At 39.1% G+C, this 18,892-nt stretch overlaps 1 protein-coding gene across 9 annotated transcripts in view; it reads right to left on the bottom strand.

Moving 5' to 3' along the window:
• ANKFN1 (ankyrin repeat and fibronectin type III domain containing 1) overlaps window positions 1–18,892 on the bottom strand; it is a 470,940-nt gene that overhangs the window by 320,003 nt on the left and 132,045 nt on the right. For 3 of the 9 annotated variants that reach the window (XM_017024263.2, XM_011524430.3, NM_001365758.1), the window contains exon 2: window positions 12,198–12,265. The exons of 5 other annotated variants lie outside the window; for them this stretch is intronic. The gene's annotated coding sequence lies outside the window, so the exon portion shown is untranslated. Of the gene's footprint in view, window positions 1–12,197; window positions 12,266–15,464; window positions 15,771–18,892 lie in introns of those variants that run through there. One more of the 9 variants, XM_017024265.3, reaches the window with a different exon arrangement.

Raw genomic sequence — 18,892 nt, 5'->3', positions numbered from 1 at the left:
TACTAGGAAATATCCAATAGTAAAGTTGTGTCAGTGAAGTAAATACCGACACAATTCAAATCAAGACACACTTAGACCTGCTCACATTAGGATTTCAAATTGCCAGGTTAGAAAGGGTCATTTGCATGACACAATGTGCATGACCTTTCTGATGGGCCATAACTTCTTCCCAAGTCCTTAATATTCTATCAGGCACCAGAACAGCTATGGCAGCTCAAAATGAAAAAGAGCATCAGGGAATCTTCCTTCTCAGGATTTTTTGTTTTTTTCTTTGTGACAGGGTCTTGCTCTGTCACCCAGGCTGGAGTGGAGTCATGCATTAATAGTTCACTGCAACCTCAAACTCCTGGCCTCAGGCAGTCCTCCCACCTCAGCCTCCTGAGTAGCCAGGACTACAGGGTATGTGGTGCCATGCTCTGCTAAATTTTTTTTTAAAAATTTTGTAGTGACAGGGGTCTCATTATGTTTCCCAGACTGGTCTAGAATTCCTGGCTTCATGCGATCTTCCTGCCTTGGTGTCCCAAAGTGCTAGGATTACAGATGTGAGCCACCACGCCTGGCCCTTTCTCAGGATTGAAAGGCACTTGATCCAGTCCTCCTGGCTGCAACTCTGATTAAACCTTCAATTCTCATACTTGATTCCCTAGTAGAATTACTTGACTGAGTACCTGGAGGAAACAATAATTCTTTATATCTACATGTCCCCTAAATGGTGTCATGACTTCACTTTTGTTGTGGTGGTGGTGGTTGTTTTGCCTTTTTTGAGACAGGGTTCTGTTGCCTAAGCTGGAGCACAGTGGTGCAATCATGGATAACTGCAGCCTCAACCTCTTGGGCTCAAGTCAATCCTCCCAAGTAGCTGGGACTACAGGCACGAGCCACCATACTTGGTTAATTTTTGTATTGTTTTGCAGAGATGTGGTTTTGCCATGTTGTCCAGGCTGGTCTCAAACTCCTGGTCTCAAGCGATCCTCCTGCCTCAGCCTTCCAAGGTGAGAAGGCCCATAACTTCACATTTTGAATGCTTTACTTGATATCATCTTTTCTCTTAAGTATCCCTTTTTATGTTAATAAGTAGTGTTAAAATATTTGAGGGAGGAACTAATTATGCTGTAATGTGGCATATATATATACTATGCCTGAGCTTTTTTATTTTTTCTCCTTATTTTATTTTTTCTTCTTATTTAAGTACATGGGAACATCATCAATAAAGATACATGCCCTGTTATGGAATGGAAGCTGAAAAGCTGTAGGAACTCGCAGAGCAAAGAGAATAATACGCTGAGTGATACTTTAAGTCATTTGCCCTCAGTCTGGCTGCTGTCATAGACCCTTGAGAGTTTACTTGATGAGGAGAAGGAAATGGGCTCAGAGTTATTCTTTTTGCTTTGAGTATATAAGCATCTACTTCCTTCTGGGTCCTGGGTTTTCCTACAGAGCTAGTTGTTTAAGTAAAGATTGGCTGTTTGACACCAGGGTTAGAGACAATGACATGGAGGAAATAAGGCAATTAGAGATGGAGGCCAAGAAAGGGGAACCAGTAAGAACTGAATTTGCCTCTGGACCTGTGATTGTGTAAAATAAAATCCTCTATAACGCACTCGTCCCATATACATTTACCAAGGACTTGCCTGCAGGAGCTAGGTAGACCCTTGAATAGGCAGAGATGAATTAAACACAGTCTTCGAGAAGCATAGAGTCTAGAGAGGGAGAAAACATGATTTCTGGATTACAAGTTAGTTTTTAACATTCAAAATGGTAAATGTTCTATTTGTATTGTGTGCAAAGTGCATGGGAGCACCAAAAAAGCCATTCAACTTCCGAAAGGGCCAAGGAAGATGCCAATCTAGATGGAGGAGTTTGAAGGCCAAAGGAATATTAATGCTCTTAGGGTGAACTGTTCAAATAGGTTGATCAAATATTCATTGTAATGCAAAAAAGGGAGCTAAGAGATGCAACTCATGTGCCTGCTCCTAAGGTGTCTTCTGTTTCTTCTCCCCTCTTTCGTTCATGAAACATCTTCAGTTGTCTACATGAGTCATAGAGAACAGAGATGAATGATAGGAAGGAGGGAAAGGATGGCTCATCTATATTGTTGTTTTTTGTTTTAAATAGATTTTTATCTTTTAGAGTAGTTTTAGATTCACAGCAAAATTGATAGATGGTACAGGGATTTCCCAAATATCCTCTGCCCACACACCTGCCTAGCCCCCCTCACCAGAGTGGTGCATTTGTTACAATTGATGAACATTGACACATCATTATCACCCAAAGTTTACAGTTTACATTAGGGTTAACTCTCAGTGTTGTATATTCTGTGGGTTTAAGACACATGTATTAATGTGTATCCAACACTATAGTATCATACAGAGTATTACTACCTAAAAATCCTCTGTGCTCTGCTTAATCATCCTTCCCACCCTGCTAACCACTGGCAACCACTGATCTTTTTACTGTCTTCATAGTTCGGCCTTTTCCAGAAAGTCATATAGTTGGAATCATACAATATGTTGCCTTTTTCTTACTTAGTAATAAATATTTAGGTTTCCCCATGTCTTTTCATGACTTGTGAGCTCATTTCTTTTAGTATTAAATAATACCCCATTGCCTGATGTACCACAGTTTTTCCACTCACAAACTAAAGGATGTCTTGGTTTCTTTCAACCTTTGGCAATTATAAATAAAGCTGCTATAAAAATCAATGTGCAGGTTTTTGTGTGGATATAAGTTTCCAACTCCTTAGGATAAATACCAAGAAGTGTGATTGCTGGGTAGTACAGCAAAAGTATGTTCGGTCTTGTAAGAAATCACCAAACTGTCTTCCACGATGGCTTGCATTGCTGTCAGCAATGAATAGAGTTCCTATTGCTCCACATCCCCACAAGCATTTGATGTTCTCAGCATTCTGGATTTTGGCCATTCTAAATAGGTGTACAGTGGTATATCATTGCTTTAATTTTCGTTCCCTAGTGACAAAAGACATGGAGTACCTCTGCATGTGCTCACTTGCCATCTGTATATCTTCTTTGGTGAGGTATCTGTTAAGATCTTTGCCTCATTTTTTAAATAAACTTGTATGTTTTCTTCTCATTGGGTTTTAAGATTTCTTTATTTCAGATGACAATCCTTTATCAGATATGTCTTTTGCAAATATTTTCTCCAAGTCTGTGGCTTGTCTTTTCATTCTTTTGACAGTATCTTTTGCAGAGCAGAAATTTTTAATTTTAATGAAGTCTGGCTTATCAATATTTTCTTTCATGAATTGTGCCTTTGGTATTGCATTTAAAAAGTCATTGTGAAATCAAAGACCATCCACATTTTTGCCTATGCATCTTCTGGGAGTGTTATGCTTTTTATTTGGGTCTGTGATCCATCTTGAGTTAATTTTTGTGAAATGTGTAAGGTCTGTGTCTAGATTCTTTTTTTTTTTTTTAAAACGCTACAAATAAATTATGCACTTTTACATTATACTAGCTGTATTTTTTTTTAAAACGCTACAAATAAATTATGCACTTTTACATTATACTAGCTGTATTTTTTTTGTTTTTTTTTAAAAACGCTACAAATAAATTATGCACTTTTACATTATACTAGCTGTATTTTTTTTTTTAATTATACTTTAAGTTTTAGGGTACATGTGCACATTGTGCAGGTTAGTTACATATGTATACATGTGCCATGCTGGTGCGCTGCACCCACTAACTCGTCATCTAGCATTAGGTATATCTCCCAGTGCTATCCCTCCCCCCTCCCCCCTCCCCACCACAGTCCCCAGAGTGTGATATTCCCCTTCCTGTGTCCATGTGATCTCATTGTTCAATTCCCACCTATGAGTGAGAATATGCGGTGTTTGGTTTTTTGTTCTTGCGATAGTTTACTGAGAATGATGGTTTCCAATTTCATCCATGTCCCTACAAAGGACATGAACTCATCATTTTTTATGGCTGCATAGCATTCCATGGTGTATATGTGCCACATTTTCTTAATCCAGTCTATCATTTTTGGACATTTGGGTTGGTTCCAAGTCTTTGCTATTGTGAATAATGCCACAATAAACATATGTGTGCATGTGTCTTTATAGCAGCATGATTTATAGTCATTTGGGTATATACCCAGTAATGGGATGGCTGGGTCAAATGGTATTTCTAGTTCTAGATCCCTGAGGAATCGCCACACTGACTTCCACAATGGTTGAACTAGTTTACAGTCCCACCAACAGTGTAAAAGTGTTCCTATTTCTCCACATCCTCTCCAGCACCTGTTGTTTCCTGACTTTTTAATGACTGCCATTCTAACTGGTGTGAGATGATATCTCATAGTGGTTTTGATTTGCATTTCTCTGATGGCCAGTGATGATGAGCATTTTTTCATGTGTTTTTTGGCTGCATAAATGTCTTCTTTTGAGAAGTGTCTGTTCATGTCCTTCGCCCACTTTTTGATGGGGTTGTTTGTTTTTTTCTTGTAAATTTGTTTGAGTTCATTGTAGATTCTGGATATTAGCCCTTTGTCAGATGAGTAGGTTGCGAAAATTTTCTCCCATGTTGTAGGTTGCCTGTTCACTCTGATGGTAGTTTCTTTTGCTGTGCAGAAGCTCTTTAGTTTAATTAGATCCCATTTGTCAATTTTGGCTTTTGTTGCCATTGCTTTTGGTGTTTTGGACATGAAGTCCTTGCCCACGCCTATGTCCTGAATGGTAATGCCTAGGTTTTCTTCTAGGGTTTTTATGGTTTTAGGTCTAACATTTAAATCTTTAATCCATCTTGAATTAATTTTTGTATAAGGTGTAAGGAAGGGATCCAGTTTCAGCTTTCTACATATGGCTAGCCAGTTTTCCCAGCACCATTTATTAAATAGGGAATCCTTTCCCCATTGCTTGTTTTTCTCAGGTTTGTCAAAGATCAGATAGTTGTAGGTAAGCAGCGTTATTTCTGAGGGCTCTGTTCTGTTGCATTGAGCTGAAAACCAAGGCTCGAGAACTACGTGAAGAATGCAGAAGCCTCAGGAGCCGATGCGATCAACTGGAAGAAAGGGTATCAGCAATGGAAGATGAAATGAATGAAATGAAGCGAGAAGGGAAGTATAGAGAAAAAAGAATAAAAAGAAATGAGCAAAGCCTCCAAGAAATATGGGACTATGTGAAAAGACCAAATCTACGTCTGATTGGTGTACCTGAAAGTGATGCGGAGAATGGAACCAAGTTGGAAAACACTCTGCAGGATATTATCCAGGAGAACTTCCCCAATCTAGCAAGGCAGGCCAACATTCAGATTCAGGAAATACAGAGAACGCCACAAAGATGCTCCTCGAGAAGAGCAACTCCAAGACACATAATTGTCAGATTCACCAAAGTTGAAATGAAGGAAAAAATGTTAAGGGCAGCCAGAGAGAAAGGTCGGGTTACCCTCAAAGGGAAGCCCATCAGACTAACAGCGGATCTCTCGGCAGAAACCCTACAAGCCAGAAGAGAGTGGGGGCCAATATTCAACATTCTTAAAGAAAAGAATTTTCAACCCAGAATTTCATATCCAGCCAAACTAAGCTTCATAAGTGAAGGAGAAATAAAATACTTTACAGACAAGCAAATGCTGACCGATTTTGTCACCATCAGGCCTGCCCTAAAATAGCTCCTGAAGGAAGCGCTAAACATGGAAAGGAACAACCGGTACCAGCCACTGCAAAATCATGCCAAAATGTAAAGACCATCGAGACTAGGAAGAAACTGCATCAACTAACGAGCAAAATCACCAGCTAACATCATAATGACAGGATCAAATTCACACATAACAATATTAACTTTAAATGTAAATGGACTAAATGCTCCAATTAAAAGACACAGACTGGCAAGTTGGATAAAGAGTCAAGACCCATCAGTGTGCTGTATTCAGGAAACCCATCTCACGTGCAGAGACACACATAGGCTCAAAATAAAAGGATGGAGGAAGATCTACCAAGCAAATGGAAAACAAAAAAAGGCAGGGGTTGCAATCCTAGTCTCTGATAAAACAGACTTTAAACCAACAAAGATCAAAAGAGACAAAGAAGGCCATTACATAATGGTAAAGGGATCAATTCAACAAGAGGAGCTAACTATCCTAAATATATATGCACCCAATACAGGAGCACCCAGATTCATAAAGCAAGTCCTGAGTGACCTACAAAGAGACTTAGACTCCCAAACATTAATAATGGGAGACTTTAACACCCCACTGTCAACATTAGACAGATCAACGAGACAGAAAGTCAACAAAGATACCCAGGAATTGAACTCAGCTCTGCACCAAGCGGACCTAATAGACATCTACAGAACTCTCCACCCCAAATCAACAGAATATACATTTTTTTCAGCACCACACCACACCTATTCCAAAATTGACCACATACTTGGAAGTAAAGCTCTCCTCAGCAAATGTAAAAGAACAGAAATTATAACAAACTATCTCTCAGACCACAGTGCAATCAAACTAGAACTCAGGATTAAGAATCTCACTCAAAGCCGCTCGACTACATGGAAACTGAACAACCTGCTCCTGAATGACTACTGGGTACATAACGAAATGAAGGCAGAAATAAAGATGTTCTTTGAAACCAACGAGAACAAAGACACAACATACCAGAATCTCTGGGACGCATTCAAAGCAGTGTGTAGAGGGAAATTTATAGCACTAAATGCCCACAAGAGAAAGCAGGAAAGATCCAAAATTGACACCCTAACATCACAATTAGAAGAACTAGAAAAGCAAGAGCAAACACATTCAAAAGCTAGCAGAAGGCAAGAAATAACTAAAATCAGAGCAGAACTGAAGGAAATAGAGACACAAAAAAACCCTTCAAAAAATCAATGAATCCAGGAGCTGGTTTTTTGAAAGGATCAACAAAATTGATAGACCGCTAGCAAGACTAATAAAGAAAAAAAGAGAGAAGAATCAAATAGACACAATAAAAAATGATAAAGGGGATATCACCACCGATCCCACAGAAATACAAACTACCATCAGAGAATACTTTTTTTTTTTTTTGCACATGGATGTCCAGTTGTCCCAGCATCATTTGTTGAAAGGGCTGTCTTTTTGTCATGATAATGCCTTTGCTTCTTGGTCAAAGATCAGTTGACTATATTTATGTGGGTTGACTTCCGTGCTCTCTATTTTGTTCCATTGAAACCACAAGCCTTAGAATTGTATTTATGAATGATAGAGCAGAATTACAAGTTCAGACTGAAGTTTTGTTTATTCCAGCTGGGGTAGGCTGAATCATAGCCCCCTCAAAGATGTCCAAGTCCTAATATCTGAAACCTGTGAATGTGCAACATTATATGATAAAAGGGACTTTGCAGATAGTGTTTTTGGAGCTGTTTATCAATCATAAGCTGGCATTAGATCCCACAGTTAAAGGGTTCAGTCCCATGAGACTGTATCCAACTTCAGATCCCAAAAGTCCCAGGTTATCACCTGCACTTCTGACCAACTGGCTATAAAGTGAGGGTCCCTGCATCCCCTTCCTCACATTTGATACTTTGCTATAATGGCTCACAAAAAGTCAGGGCAGGCCGGGCGCGGTGGCTCACGCCTGTAATCCCAGCACTTTGGGAGGCCGAGGCGGGCGGATCACGAGGTCAGGAGATCGAGACCATCCTGGCTAAAACGGTGAAACCCCGTCTCTACTAAAAATACAAAAAATTAGCCAGGCGTAGTGGCGGGCGCCTGTAGTCCCAGCTACTTGGGAGGCTGAGGCAGGAGAATGGCGTGAACCCGGGAGGCGGAGCTTGCAGTGAGCCGAGATCCCGCCACTGCACTCCAGCCTGGGCGACAGAGCGAGACTCCGTCTCAAAAAAAAAAAAAAAAAAGTCAGGGCAACATTTACTTACTTAGGTTTACTAGTTGATTATAAAGAATACAACTCAGGAACAGCCAGATGGAAGAGATGCAAAGGGCCAGGTATAGGGAAGAGGTGTGGGGTTTTTATGTTGCCTCGAGATGCACCACCCTCCCAGTACCCCTATGTGTTCACCAACCCAGAAGCTGTAGTTCAGGGATATTTACAGAGGCTTCACCACATAGGCAGGATTGATTAACTCTGTCTCCAGTCCCTATGCTCTCCTTAGAGGATGGGGAAATGGGACTGAAAATTTTGAGCTTCTAATCAAGGTTTGGTCTTTCTGGTGACTAGCCCCCATCCTGAAGCCATCTAGGAGCTCATCAAGAGTTGCCTCATTAGGGCAAAAGACACTCCTATCACCCAGGATATTCTGAGGGATTTAGGAGTTCTGTGTCAAAGACCAGGTCAGAGACCAAATATTAGCACAAAAGATGATTCTAATACCCCTGTCACTCAGAAAAGCATACGTGTTTCAAGAGCTCTGTGTAAATAACTGGGAGCAGAGACCAATATGGATATTTCATATATATATATATATATATATATATATATATATACACACACACACACACACATACACACACACACACACATATACATCTTATTTTATTTCTTATATATAATAAGAAATGCATATGCATACACATATTTAAGAAACATATACTTATTTAATACTTAAAATAATTATTATCTCTTATTATTTCATAAGCAGCCTCTAGAAGCTGAAAAAGGCAAGGAAGAGGAACATCTTTTAAACCCCCTAGAAGGAAGAAGATTTTAAGAGAGATTCCTCTTCCTTGCCTTTTTCAAAATCAATGACATTTTGATTTTAGACTTCTGGTTCCAGAACTGTGAGAATAAATTTACGTTGTTTAAAGCCATTAAGTTTTGGATAACTTGTTACAGAAACACTGGGAAATTAACCCACCAGCTCCTCATTAATATAGATAGAAAAAGCTACCTCAAAGCCAGTGAGTTCTCAGGCAATATCAAAAGGCACAGTAACTTACATTAGCCTCATGCAATGTATTTATTTATTTATTTATTTATTTTTGATTCTTATACTTTAAGTTCTAGGGTACATGTGCACAACGTGCAGGTTTGTTACATATGTATACAAGTGCCATGTTTGTGTGCTGCACCCGTTAACTTGTGATTTACATTCAGTATATCTCCTAATGCTAGCCCTCCCCCACCCCCTACCCCACGACAGGCCCCGGTGTGTCATGTTCCCCAACCTGTGTCCAAGTGTTCTCATTGTTCAATTCCCACCTATGGGTGAGAACATGCAGTGTTTGGTTTTCTGTCCTTGCGATAGTTTGCTCAGAATGATGGTTTCCAGCTTCATCCATGTCCCTATAAAGGACATGAACTCATCCTTTTTTATGGCTGCATAGTATTCCATAGTGTATATGTGCCACATTTTCTTAATCCAGTCTATCATTGATGGACATTTGGGTTGGTTCCAAGTCTTTGCTGTTGTGCACAGTGCCACAATAAACATGTGCATGTGTCTTTATAGCAGCATGATTTATAGTCATTTGGGTATATACCCAGTAATGAGATGACTGGGTCAAATGGCATTTCTAGTTCTAGATCCTTGAGGAATCACCACACTGTCTTCTACAATGGTTGAACTAGTTTACAGTCCCACCAACAGTGTAAAAGTATTCCTATTTCTCCACATCCTATCCAGCACCTGTTGTTTCCTGACTTTTTAATGATCGCCATTCTAACTGGTATGAGATGGTATCTCATAGTGGTTTTGATTTGCATTTCTCTGATGGCCAGTGATGATGAGCATTTTTTCATGTGTCTGTTGGCTCCATAAATGTCTTCTTTTGAGAAGTGTCTGTTCATATCCTTTGCCCACTTTTTGATGGGGTTGTTTGATTTTTTCTTGCAAATTTGTTTAAGTTCTTTTTAGATTCTGGATATTAGCCCTTTGTCAGATAGGTAGATTGCAAAATTTTTCTCCCATTGTGTAGGTTGCCTGTTCACTCTGATGGTAGTTTCTTTTGTTGTGCAGACGCTCCTTAGTTTAATTAGATCCCATTTGTCAATTTTGGCTTTTGTTGCCATTGCTTTTGGTGTTTTAGACATGAAGTCCTTGCCCATGCCTATGTCCTGAATGGTACTGCCTAGGTTTTCTTCTAGGGTTTTTATGGTTTTAGGTCTAACATTTAGGTCTTTAATCCATCTTGAATTAATTTTTGTATAAGGTGTAAGGAAGAGATCCAGTTTCAGCTTTCTACATATGGCTAGCCAGTTTTCCCAGCACCATTTATTAAATAGGGAATCCTTTCCCCGTTTCTTGTTTTTGTCCATCTACAGCCCCGTGCGATTTTTAACAACACCTTTAGGTAACAGGATGCCATACACTAGTTCCTCATTTTGCAAGTGTGTCCTAAGCAACACGCAGCTAGTCTGTGCCTGAATCAGGCTGTATGTGATCCTTAGCACTGTGCTCTTTTCCTGGTGTAGACCATTTCTCTGATAGCTAGGGAGCCAGGGGATAAGTCATTTCCTGTGCCAAATAGTTTTCTTCTACACAAAATGACCTTAGAGATTTTTGCTACGATTCATACATTTTTGCTCTTTTGCGTCACAGTGGACAACGTGGAATGCTCTGGCACCAGGATGTTGTTGGAATCACTGACTGATCAATTCTTAGTAGCTGCTTGGACAAGCCGCTTAACCTCTCTTGAACTGTAAAATGGTATCACAACACAGATCATTCTTAACTCACGTTATTGAGGATCAAACATGATAATATAAGTGAAAGGGCTTTATAAGTTCTATAATGCTATTCAGATGTGAGGAATTATTATTTTTATATGCTCAAGAAGGCTGGCACGGCCCCTCTCCCAGGTGACTAAAAAGCATATGTGATTTTATTTGCTCCAATAATTTTATTCTTATTAGTACTTGTTCAGTATACTACATGGGCATGCACAATGCACAAAGCATTTATTCTTCTGGCTACAGTAACTACCCACCCCCCTCCAAACTTACCCTTGTAAAAACAAATAAGACTTGTAAAACAAAACAAAAGTAGAAAGCGGGGAGATGGCATTATTTGTAACTGCGTGCCATCAAACAAACTCACCTCTCACTTGAAACATGAGCTGCCTTTGAGAGTGGACAGTTAATTCTTTTGACCAAACAACTGCCCAAACTAATGGGTCTATTGCTTTTTCTTATTTTTTTTTTCACTTTAATTTTTAATGCGGTTTCCTAACCCTCCACTTCAGGAGGTAAATACAATTCTGGCAGAGTCCTGGTCGAATTTAGTTTATTAGGGCTTTTACTACAAGTTTTTAAGCACTTGCTGATTTTCAAAAACATATTAAAATGGCCATGGCCAATCTCGTAGATTGGTACAAGTCCACATTTCCCAAACGACTTAATAGTCTGCAACTTGTGCCAGACAGAGAATGATTTCACCATTCTCTTTCCCACAACTTAAAGGCTGGACATTGTTTTTAACTCTGTGGTGGGAGGGAGCAGTTTGCTTTGCCATGTTAGTCTCCTCCCTAGAATTCCCTCCTACAAGTTTTATAGGTCCCACTGTCCTGGAGGGCACATTAAGTCCCCAAAGAACATATTTGTAGGCCATTTTTGGAACAACCAGCCCTGCTCTGACCCATTCTTCGACAGAGAAGCTCTTAGGGATGTTTTTCCACACAAAGTTTGGTATTATGGGAAGGGGGGTTATAAAGGTTATGGAGACCCTGTCCTATGGCAAAATAATTAAAACTGGGATTTATGTCTCAAACTTTTTTCCTTTTCTATTTCTCCATTTCTTTTCCAATTGCCAGTAAATTCAGCAAAAATTTATGCAGAACAAATACATGAATGGATAAATATTTGAGACCTTCTACTGTCAGGCTCTATGCTGAAAACTGGATCACAGGAGTGAACTCACAATCTAGTGGGGGAAGTCACATCAGTATATATGTACCATATAACACCCTGGGATGACATTTGGGATTGGAGTTTAGGTCAGGGTTTCAAGGTGGTACAAGGTGAACTAGTTAACTACGTGGACAGAGATTGATAAAAAGCAAAGATGGCGGATTCTCCACAAAAAAGACAAATTCACCCATGAAATGGTATTACATGAGCACTGTGCCTGAGATTCCTGTTCCATCGCTTACTTGAAAGAGTTGACATTTTATTTCCTTCTGTTAGCTCATGTGCAGCCCAGAGTGTTATTCTGTGCCTGAGGATCTGTGGAAGACAGCACAGTACTTTAACACTCTGGCGTAACAGCTGAGGGGGAGTTCTGGTTTGAGTTTTACCACAAGTGGTGAACTGACCTTGGACGTGTCGCTTCATTTCTCAGATGAGACAATAGCACAGGATGTACCGACCTCTCAGGGCAGATCTGAGGATCAAATGAGATCACGAGAATGATGATTTATATTTAAAAAGTTTGAAACTTTTCTCAAATGACACTGAAGCACAAAGGAGTGCATATGTGTATATGCCTTGAGGAATTACAGCAACAAATATAATTAAGTGGTTTTGAATATCAAAATCAAAGTTAATATCATCTGCATGTAGGAAACAGGCCTACCTTGGGATAGGGCAGGTTGAGTTCCAATGAAGCAAATCTCACAGTAAAACAAGTCGCATTAATTTTTTTGTTTCCCAGTGCATATAAAAGTTATATTCACAATATACTGTGGTCTATTAATTGTGCAACAGCATTATGTCTAAAAAATAATGTACATATCTTAATTTAAAATATTGTTTAAAATTGCATACAATCATCTCTGAGTCTTCAGCAAGTCTTAACCTTTTTGCTGGTGAAGGGTCTTGCCTCTATGTTGCTGGCTGCTGACTGATCAGGGTGGTGGTTGCTGAAGGCTGGAGTGGGTATGGTAATTTCTTAAAATAAGACAACAATGAAGTTCACCCACATTGATTGACTTTTCCTTTCACAAAATATTTCTTTCTACAAAATGCTGTAGAAAGATAGCATTTTACCCACAGCAGAACTTCTTTCAAAATAAGAGTCAATCCTCTCAAACTCTGCCACTGCTTTCTCAAGTAAGTTTTTGTAATTTTCTAAATCCTTTATTGTCACTTCAACAACGTTCACAGCATATTCACCAAAGAGTGGATCCCATGGCAAGAAACCACTTTCTTTGCTTATTCATATGAAGCAACTCAATATCCATTCAAGATGTATCATGAGATGACAGTAATTCAGTCACATCTGAAGGCTTTACTTCTAATTTTAGTTTGCTTAATATTGGTACCACATATGCAGTTTCTTCATCCGCTGAAGTGTTGAGCTTCTCAAAGTCATCCACAAAGGCTGAGATCAACTTCTTCCAAATGCTGGTGGTGTTAGTCTGTTTTTGCATTGTTACAAAGATATACCTGAGACTGGGTAATGTATAGAGAAAAGAGGTTTAATTCACTCACAGTTCTTCAGGCTGTATAGGAAGCATGGCACCAGCATCTGCTTGGCTTCTGGTGAGGTCTCAGGGAATTTTTACTCATGGCAAAAGGTGAAGCAAAAGCAGGCATATTACATGGCAAGAGAGGGAGCAAGAGTGAGAAAGGGGAGGTCCCAGACTGTTAACCAACCAGATCTCATGTGAACTAACTTTGAGAGAACTCACTCATTACCAAGGGATGCTAAGCCATTCATGGGGGATCTGCCCGCATGATCCAATCACCTCCCACTAAGCTCCACCTCCAACACTGGGGATCACATTTCTACATGAGATTTGGAGGGGACAAACATCCAAACTATATCACTGGCTAATGTTGGTATTTTGACTTTCTTCCATTTATGATAGATGTTCTTAATGGCATCTAGAATGATGAATCCTTTCCAGAATTTTGTCAATGTACTCTGCCAGGATCCATCATAGGAATCGCTATTGATGGTAACTATAACCTTATGAAATGTACTCCTTAAATAATAAGAGTTGAAAGCCAAAATAACTCCTCGATCCATGGGTTGCAGAATGGATGCTGTGTTAGCAGGCATGACAACAACATTAATCTCCTTTGCAGATCTCTATTAGAGCTCTTGGATGATGAGCTGCATTGTCAATAAGCAGTAATATTTTAAAAGAAATCTTTTCTTCTGAGCAGCATGTTTCAATAGTGGGCTTAAAATATTCAGTAAACCGTATGCTGTAAACAGATGTGCTGTCATCCATGCTTTCTCATTCCATTTATAGAGTACAGGCAAAGTAGATTTAGTCTAATTCTTATGGGCCTTAGGATTTTCAGAATGATAAATGTCCACTGGCTTTGACATTGACCACCAGCTGCATTGGCCTCTAACGAGAGAGTTGGCCTGTCCTTTGAAGCCAGGCATTGACTTCTATTCTCTAGCTAAAAATGTCATGAATGGCATCTTCTTTCAATAGAAGGCTAGTTTTCCTACATTGAAAATCTGTTGTTTGGTGTAGCCATTTCACCAATTATCTTAGTTAGATCTTCAGAATTACTTGCTGCAGCTTCTCCATCAGCACTTGCTGCCTCACTTTGCATTTATGTTATGAAGATGGCTTCTTTACTTAAACCTCATGAACCAACCTCTTCTAGTTTCAAATGATTCTTCTGCAGCTTTGTCACCTCTCCCAGATTTCAGAAAATTCAAAGAGTTAGGGTCTTGCTCTGGACTAGGTTTTGTCTTTGGGAAATGTTGTGTCTGGTTTGATTTTCTATCCAAACCACTAAAACCTTCTCCATATCAGCAATAAGGCTGTTTTGCTTTCTTATCATTTGTGTTTTCACTGGAGTAGTACTTTTAATTTCCTTCAAGAATTTTCCCTTTGAATTTACAACTTGGCTTACTGCTTGGCACAAGAGACTTAGCTTTTGGCCTCTCTTGGCTTTCGACCTGCCTTCCTCACTAAGCTGAATCACTTCTAGCTTTTGATTTAAAGTAAGAGATGAGTGGCCCTTCCTTTAACTTGAACACTAACAGACCAATGTAGGGTTATTAATTGGCCTATTCTCAGTATTGTGTCTCAGGAAATAGGGACATCCAAGGAACAGGAGACAGATGGCAGAAGGGCCCATTGGCAGAGCAGTCAGAGTACATGCATTTGTTGATTAAGTTTGCTATCACATATGGGAGCACTTTGTGATGCCCCAAAACAATGACAATGGTAACATCAAAGATCACTGATCATAAATCACCACAACAGATAAAATAATAGCAAAAAAGGTTGAAATATTGTGAGAATTAACAACATGTGACACAGAGATACGAAGTTAGCACATTCTATTGGAAAAATGATGCCCATAGGCTCACTGCAGGGTTGTCACAAACCTTCAATTTGTAAAAAATGCAATATCTGCAAAGCACAATAAAACAAGGCACAATTAAATGAGTATGCCTCTATACATAAGCATATAAAAACATATATACGTACATATATGACATATGTGTGTATATGCATTCATACATGCATACGTAATGGTTGTACATGCTAAGAAGAGAAAGAAAACAATAGGCAATAAGCAGTGATCTGATCACTGGAAGTTGCACTTGACTGGTCTACAGCTGTAATGGATGATTGGAAATTCATCCTCGAAAGCCAGCCTACCTGAGCTTAACTAGTAGTGCTCCCACTTATTGTCGTGTCATCTTAGGTTAGTCACTTCATCTTTCTAAGCCTCAGTTTCATCATCTGTAAAACAGACACATAACAGTGCCTTCCTTGTCAGGTTGTTGCAAAGAAGAAATGACACACTATTTATATAAAGTGCTTTGTAAAGGATTTGGCACACAGTACGTGCTTGATAACTAGTAGTTATTGCTATTATGAAAATGTGTACTTTTTTTAAAAAAGCTTTGGGGGAAATCCTCCAGTCCTGGAGATCAGAATACAAAAAGAATTTTAAAAATATGTAGGAATAGCTCTAAAACTTTCCAGATAAAAAGGCATTCATGCAAGAAAAATGAAACTTCTTCGCTGTGTTATGCTATAGATATATTGACATTATACAGAATTAACATTACTTTTCTAATAACAAAGAGCATCACTCATTCCCTAGACTCAAACAGCCAACTGGACTCTGGGGAAAGGCATATATTATGTTAGCAACTTGGAATAGAAACTGCCTTTGAAAGTTGCTCAATAAAGAGCCCTTAATGTGCTACACATAATGTAAGGCAACATGTTTTGTAGTTAATGAACCTAGAAGCTAAAGCCATTGGTGTGGCTTAGAGAACAGCACTCCTTCCTCGATGCTACAAGGTAAATTAGCATCAAGTCCTGTGTCATGAAACTTTCAATAAAGAACTGATTATATAAGGCATTAAGTCTTTCTCTAATTACCACTATAAATATAGATAATCAAGTCATTCTGAGTACTAAAATCAATTTTACTGTTTATGCTTTTTCCATTTTATATATTTAGCTGTTGACTTTTAACTTGAAGACATAAGCAGCTGGTGAAAAATATGCTTAGAATACTAATTATGTTGTCATGGGGAATACCAATATATGTTGCCTGTAGGAGAGTTAATAAGGATTGAAAACAGTATAATTGTTTTACCAATGAAAACACTACATACTGGGGGAACCTATGATTTCATTTTATAAATTAGATGCCAAATACTTTACTCTGGTGATTTTCAGTAGTGTCATCTCTATAATAAAGTTCGTTTTAACTGCTTAGTTGAATGTTATGTGGATGCCTGAGGCTCAGATGAAGGCTTCTAGCCTGAATCTTAGGGTTTGCACATTTGGGTAATGTGAGGAGGTAAGAATGGGCTTACAGAAGAGACCTTGAGTACCCTTACACAGCCATAAACATGGATGAGGACCACAGACACGCTGACACGCCTAGCAACAGATAGAACAAAGAATGGCAGGTCTGCTAAATTTGGCTGTATTCTACTTGTAGCTCAGAGACAGAATATGACCTTGCCTCCTAGAAAAATGTGGTCTAGTGAACTATCAGAGTAACTACACTTCTCTCTTGGAGCAGGTTGAGTAAAGGGTAGAAAGAGAGGCCAGAAGAGTGCCCACCAATACTCCATGTATGAGAAGAGGAATAGAAGGCTACATGCATCCCCCAGAAATCACTTCTTCCTCTGTGAATCTATGGTTCTCTTTGTTGACTTATTTATTCACATACGAGTATTCAGTCATACAAAAGTATTTATCGAACACCTTCCCTGGTTAGACATCAAGCTATGAGATGAGCTCAATCTACTGGTTTTCATATAATAGAATGTGCGATGAATGCTTCTTGAATCAAAGTCAGCTTAAAGAAAATTGCTTCCAGATTTTGGGAAGGAAGGAAGGAATGCTTTATTAGGCTTAGTATGTGTCCACTAAACACCAGGCTCTGTTCTGGGCGTCTTACAAATATGATTTCATTGGTTCCTTAGAGAACTCCTATGTAGGTAGACAACTCAGTTTTACAGATGAAGCAACCAAGATTTGGACTGGTAAAGTGACTTGCTTGAGGTCACACAGTTTGCAAGAAGCCAAGCAGGGATTAAAATTCATGCCTCAGATGGCCTTTCTTCCTAACATTCAGCTCCTTCAGGTCTCTGTGTTTTCCCAGCCCGAGCTAGGGGCAGAAAAGCCAAAGCTCATTCTGCTGCCCTACAAATGGCTCTTGTCTCAATTTTTGCCTGTTTTTTTATCCCCCCTCTAGCACTTTGAAAAAATGCGTTCCGTTCTTCAAGTTGTCTGGAGCAGGAGTACTGCATTTCAAACAGGGCAGGGATGTACCAAACAAGGCCAGGTCAGCACCAAAAGAGCAATGATGACTGGCAGGAGCCTGGCCTATTTCTCCTGGCTAAGAAAACACAGGAGAGTTTGTTTTCCATGCCCTTGTGTGACTAAAAGCTTAGAAAGTGTTAACAGGGAGTCTCTCTACTTTGTCTTCTCCTTTCCTAAGCCTAGAATTTCCTGAAGTATGTTTTAAGGGATATTTGACCTATGATCATGAAACATGTTCAAATATGCTTTAGAGCCTGGTTAAAATAAAGTTGGTATGGATTTGCAGAGGAGGGTGAATGACATCTCACCACCCTCAAAAAACTGATAACCAATTTTAAGGGCTGGCTACATTAATACACAAGAAAAATTAGTAACTGGAAATTTCTTTAGCAGTTATTCTGCATTTATAATCGATTCCATTGTTACTTTCCTTAAGTGACAGTGAAATCTCACCTAAATAATGAACTTAATTGGAGAATATTGCGTAGAAAATAACTTAATATTAATAATAGAATTTCTCAAAATCTGTTTTAAGGGACATTTATCCTATGATCAAGAAACATGTTCAAATAGGTTTGGCAAATGCTACACGTTGCACCCTTCAAATGCTTTATGATGTCCATCAGCATATTAAACGTCTGAGAAGTTCTGCTGCAAAAACCAGGTAAATGAAACGCATTATCTTTCCTTGACCCATGCCTTTCAACTAAACCATCATGCCCCCTGGAATGTCATTCCCGCCCACCCTGAGGTTAAAAATCCTACTCATTCTTCAAGGTTGAATTTTAAAAATATATAGATCCTCAGGCCCACACCGAGAGAGTCTGATTTGGGAAAAGCCTAGAGAATTTTTAAGTACCTTCTTAAGTATAGATTTTAAGTGACTTTAATTCTAATAAACAACTGCTGAATTCACAGCTCCTACCTTTGAGATTCTCCACATGCAGCCTCGAGTCTGAATCTAGGTTAGCACTCTATGTATTCAGGAATCCACAGGCTAAAATGTGTTTACATCAGCAAAATTAGCTTATGTTGCCAAATTATATTGGGAACTTTACGTATCTAATGATATGATTTATAGCGGGGCATATTTAAATGAATGTCCCCCAAATAACTATTTTAAATTTTTGAAGCAGTTCTTATGATTCTCTTGGTGCCCTCAAGTCATACGATACATGAAGCAGACTGATGGATCAGATCATTCTGGGGTCTCATCAGAGTTTAATCCAGGCCCAGTTCACCTAAGTCTGCACCTCTCCCTCTGAAGAATCCTACAACCTTTTAGGACTTTT

Source organism: Homo sapiens, chromosome 17, assembly GCF_000001405.40.
Source record: "Homo sapiens chromosome 17, GRCh38.p14 Primary Assembly".
In the NCBI taxonomy this organism is placed as follows: Eukaryota; Metazoa; Chordata; class Mammalia; order Primates; family Hominidae; genus Homo; species Homo sapiens.
Note: the sequence above shows the minus strand (reverse complement) of the source record. Positions and strands in the feature narration are given on the sequence as shown.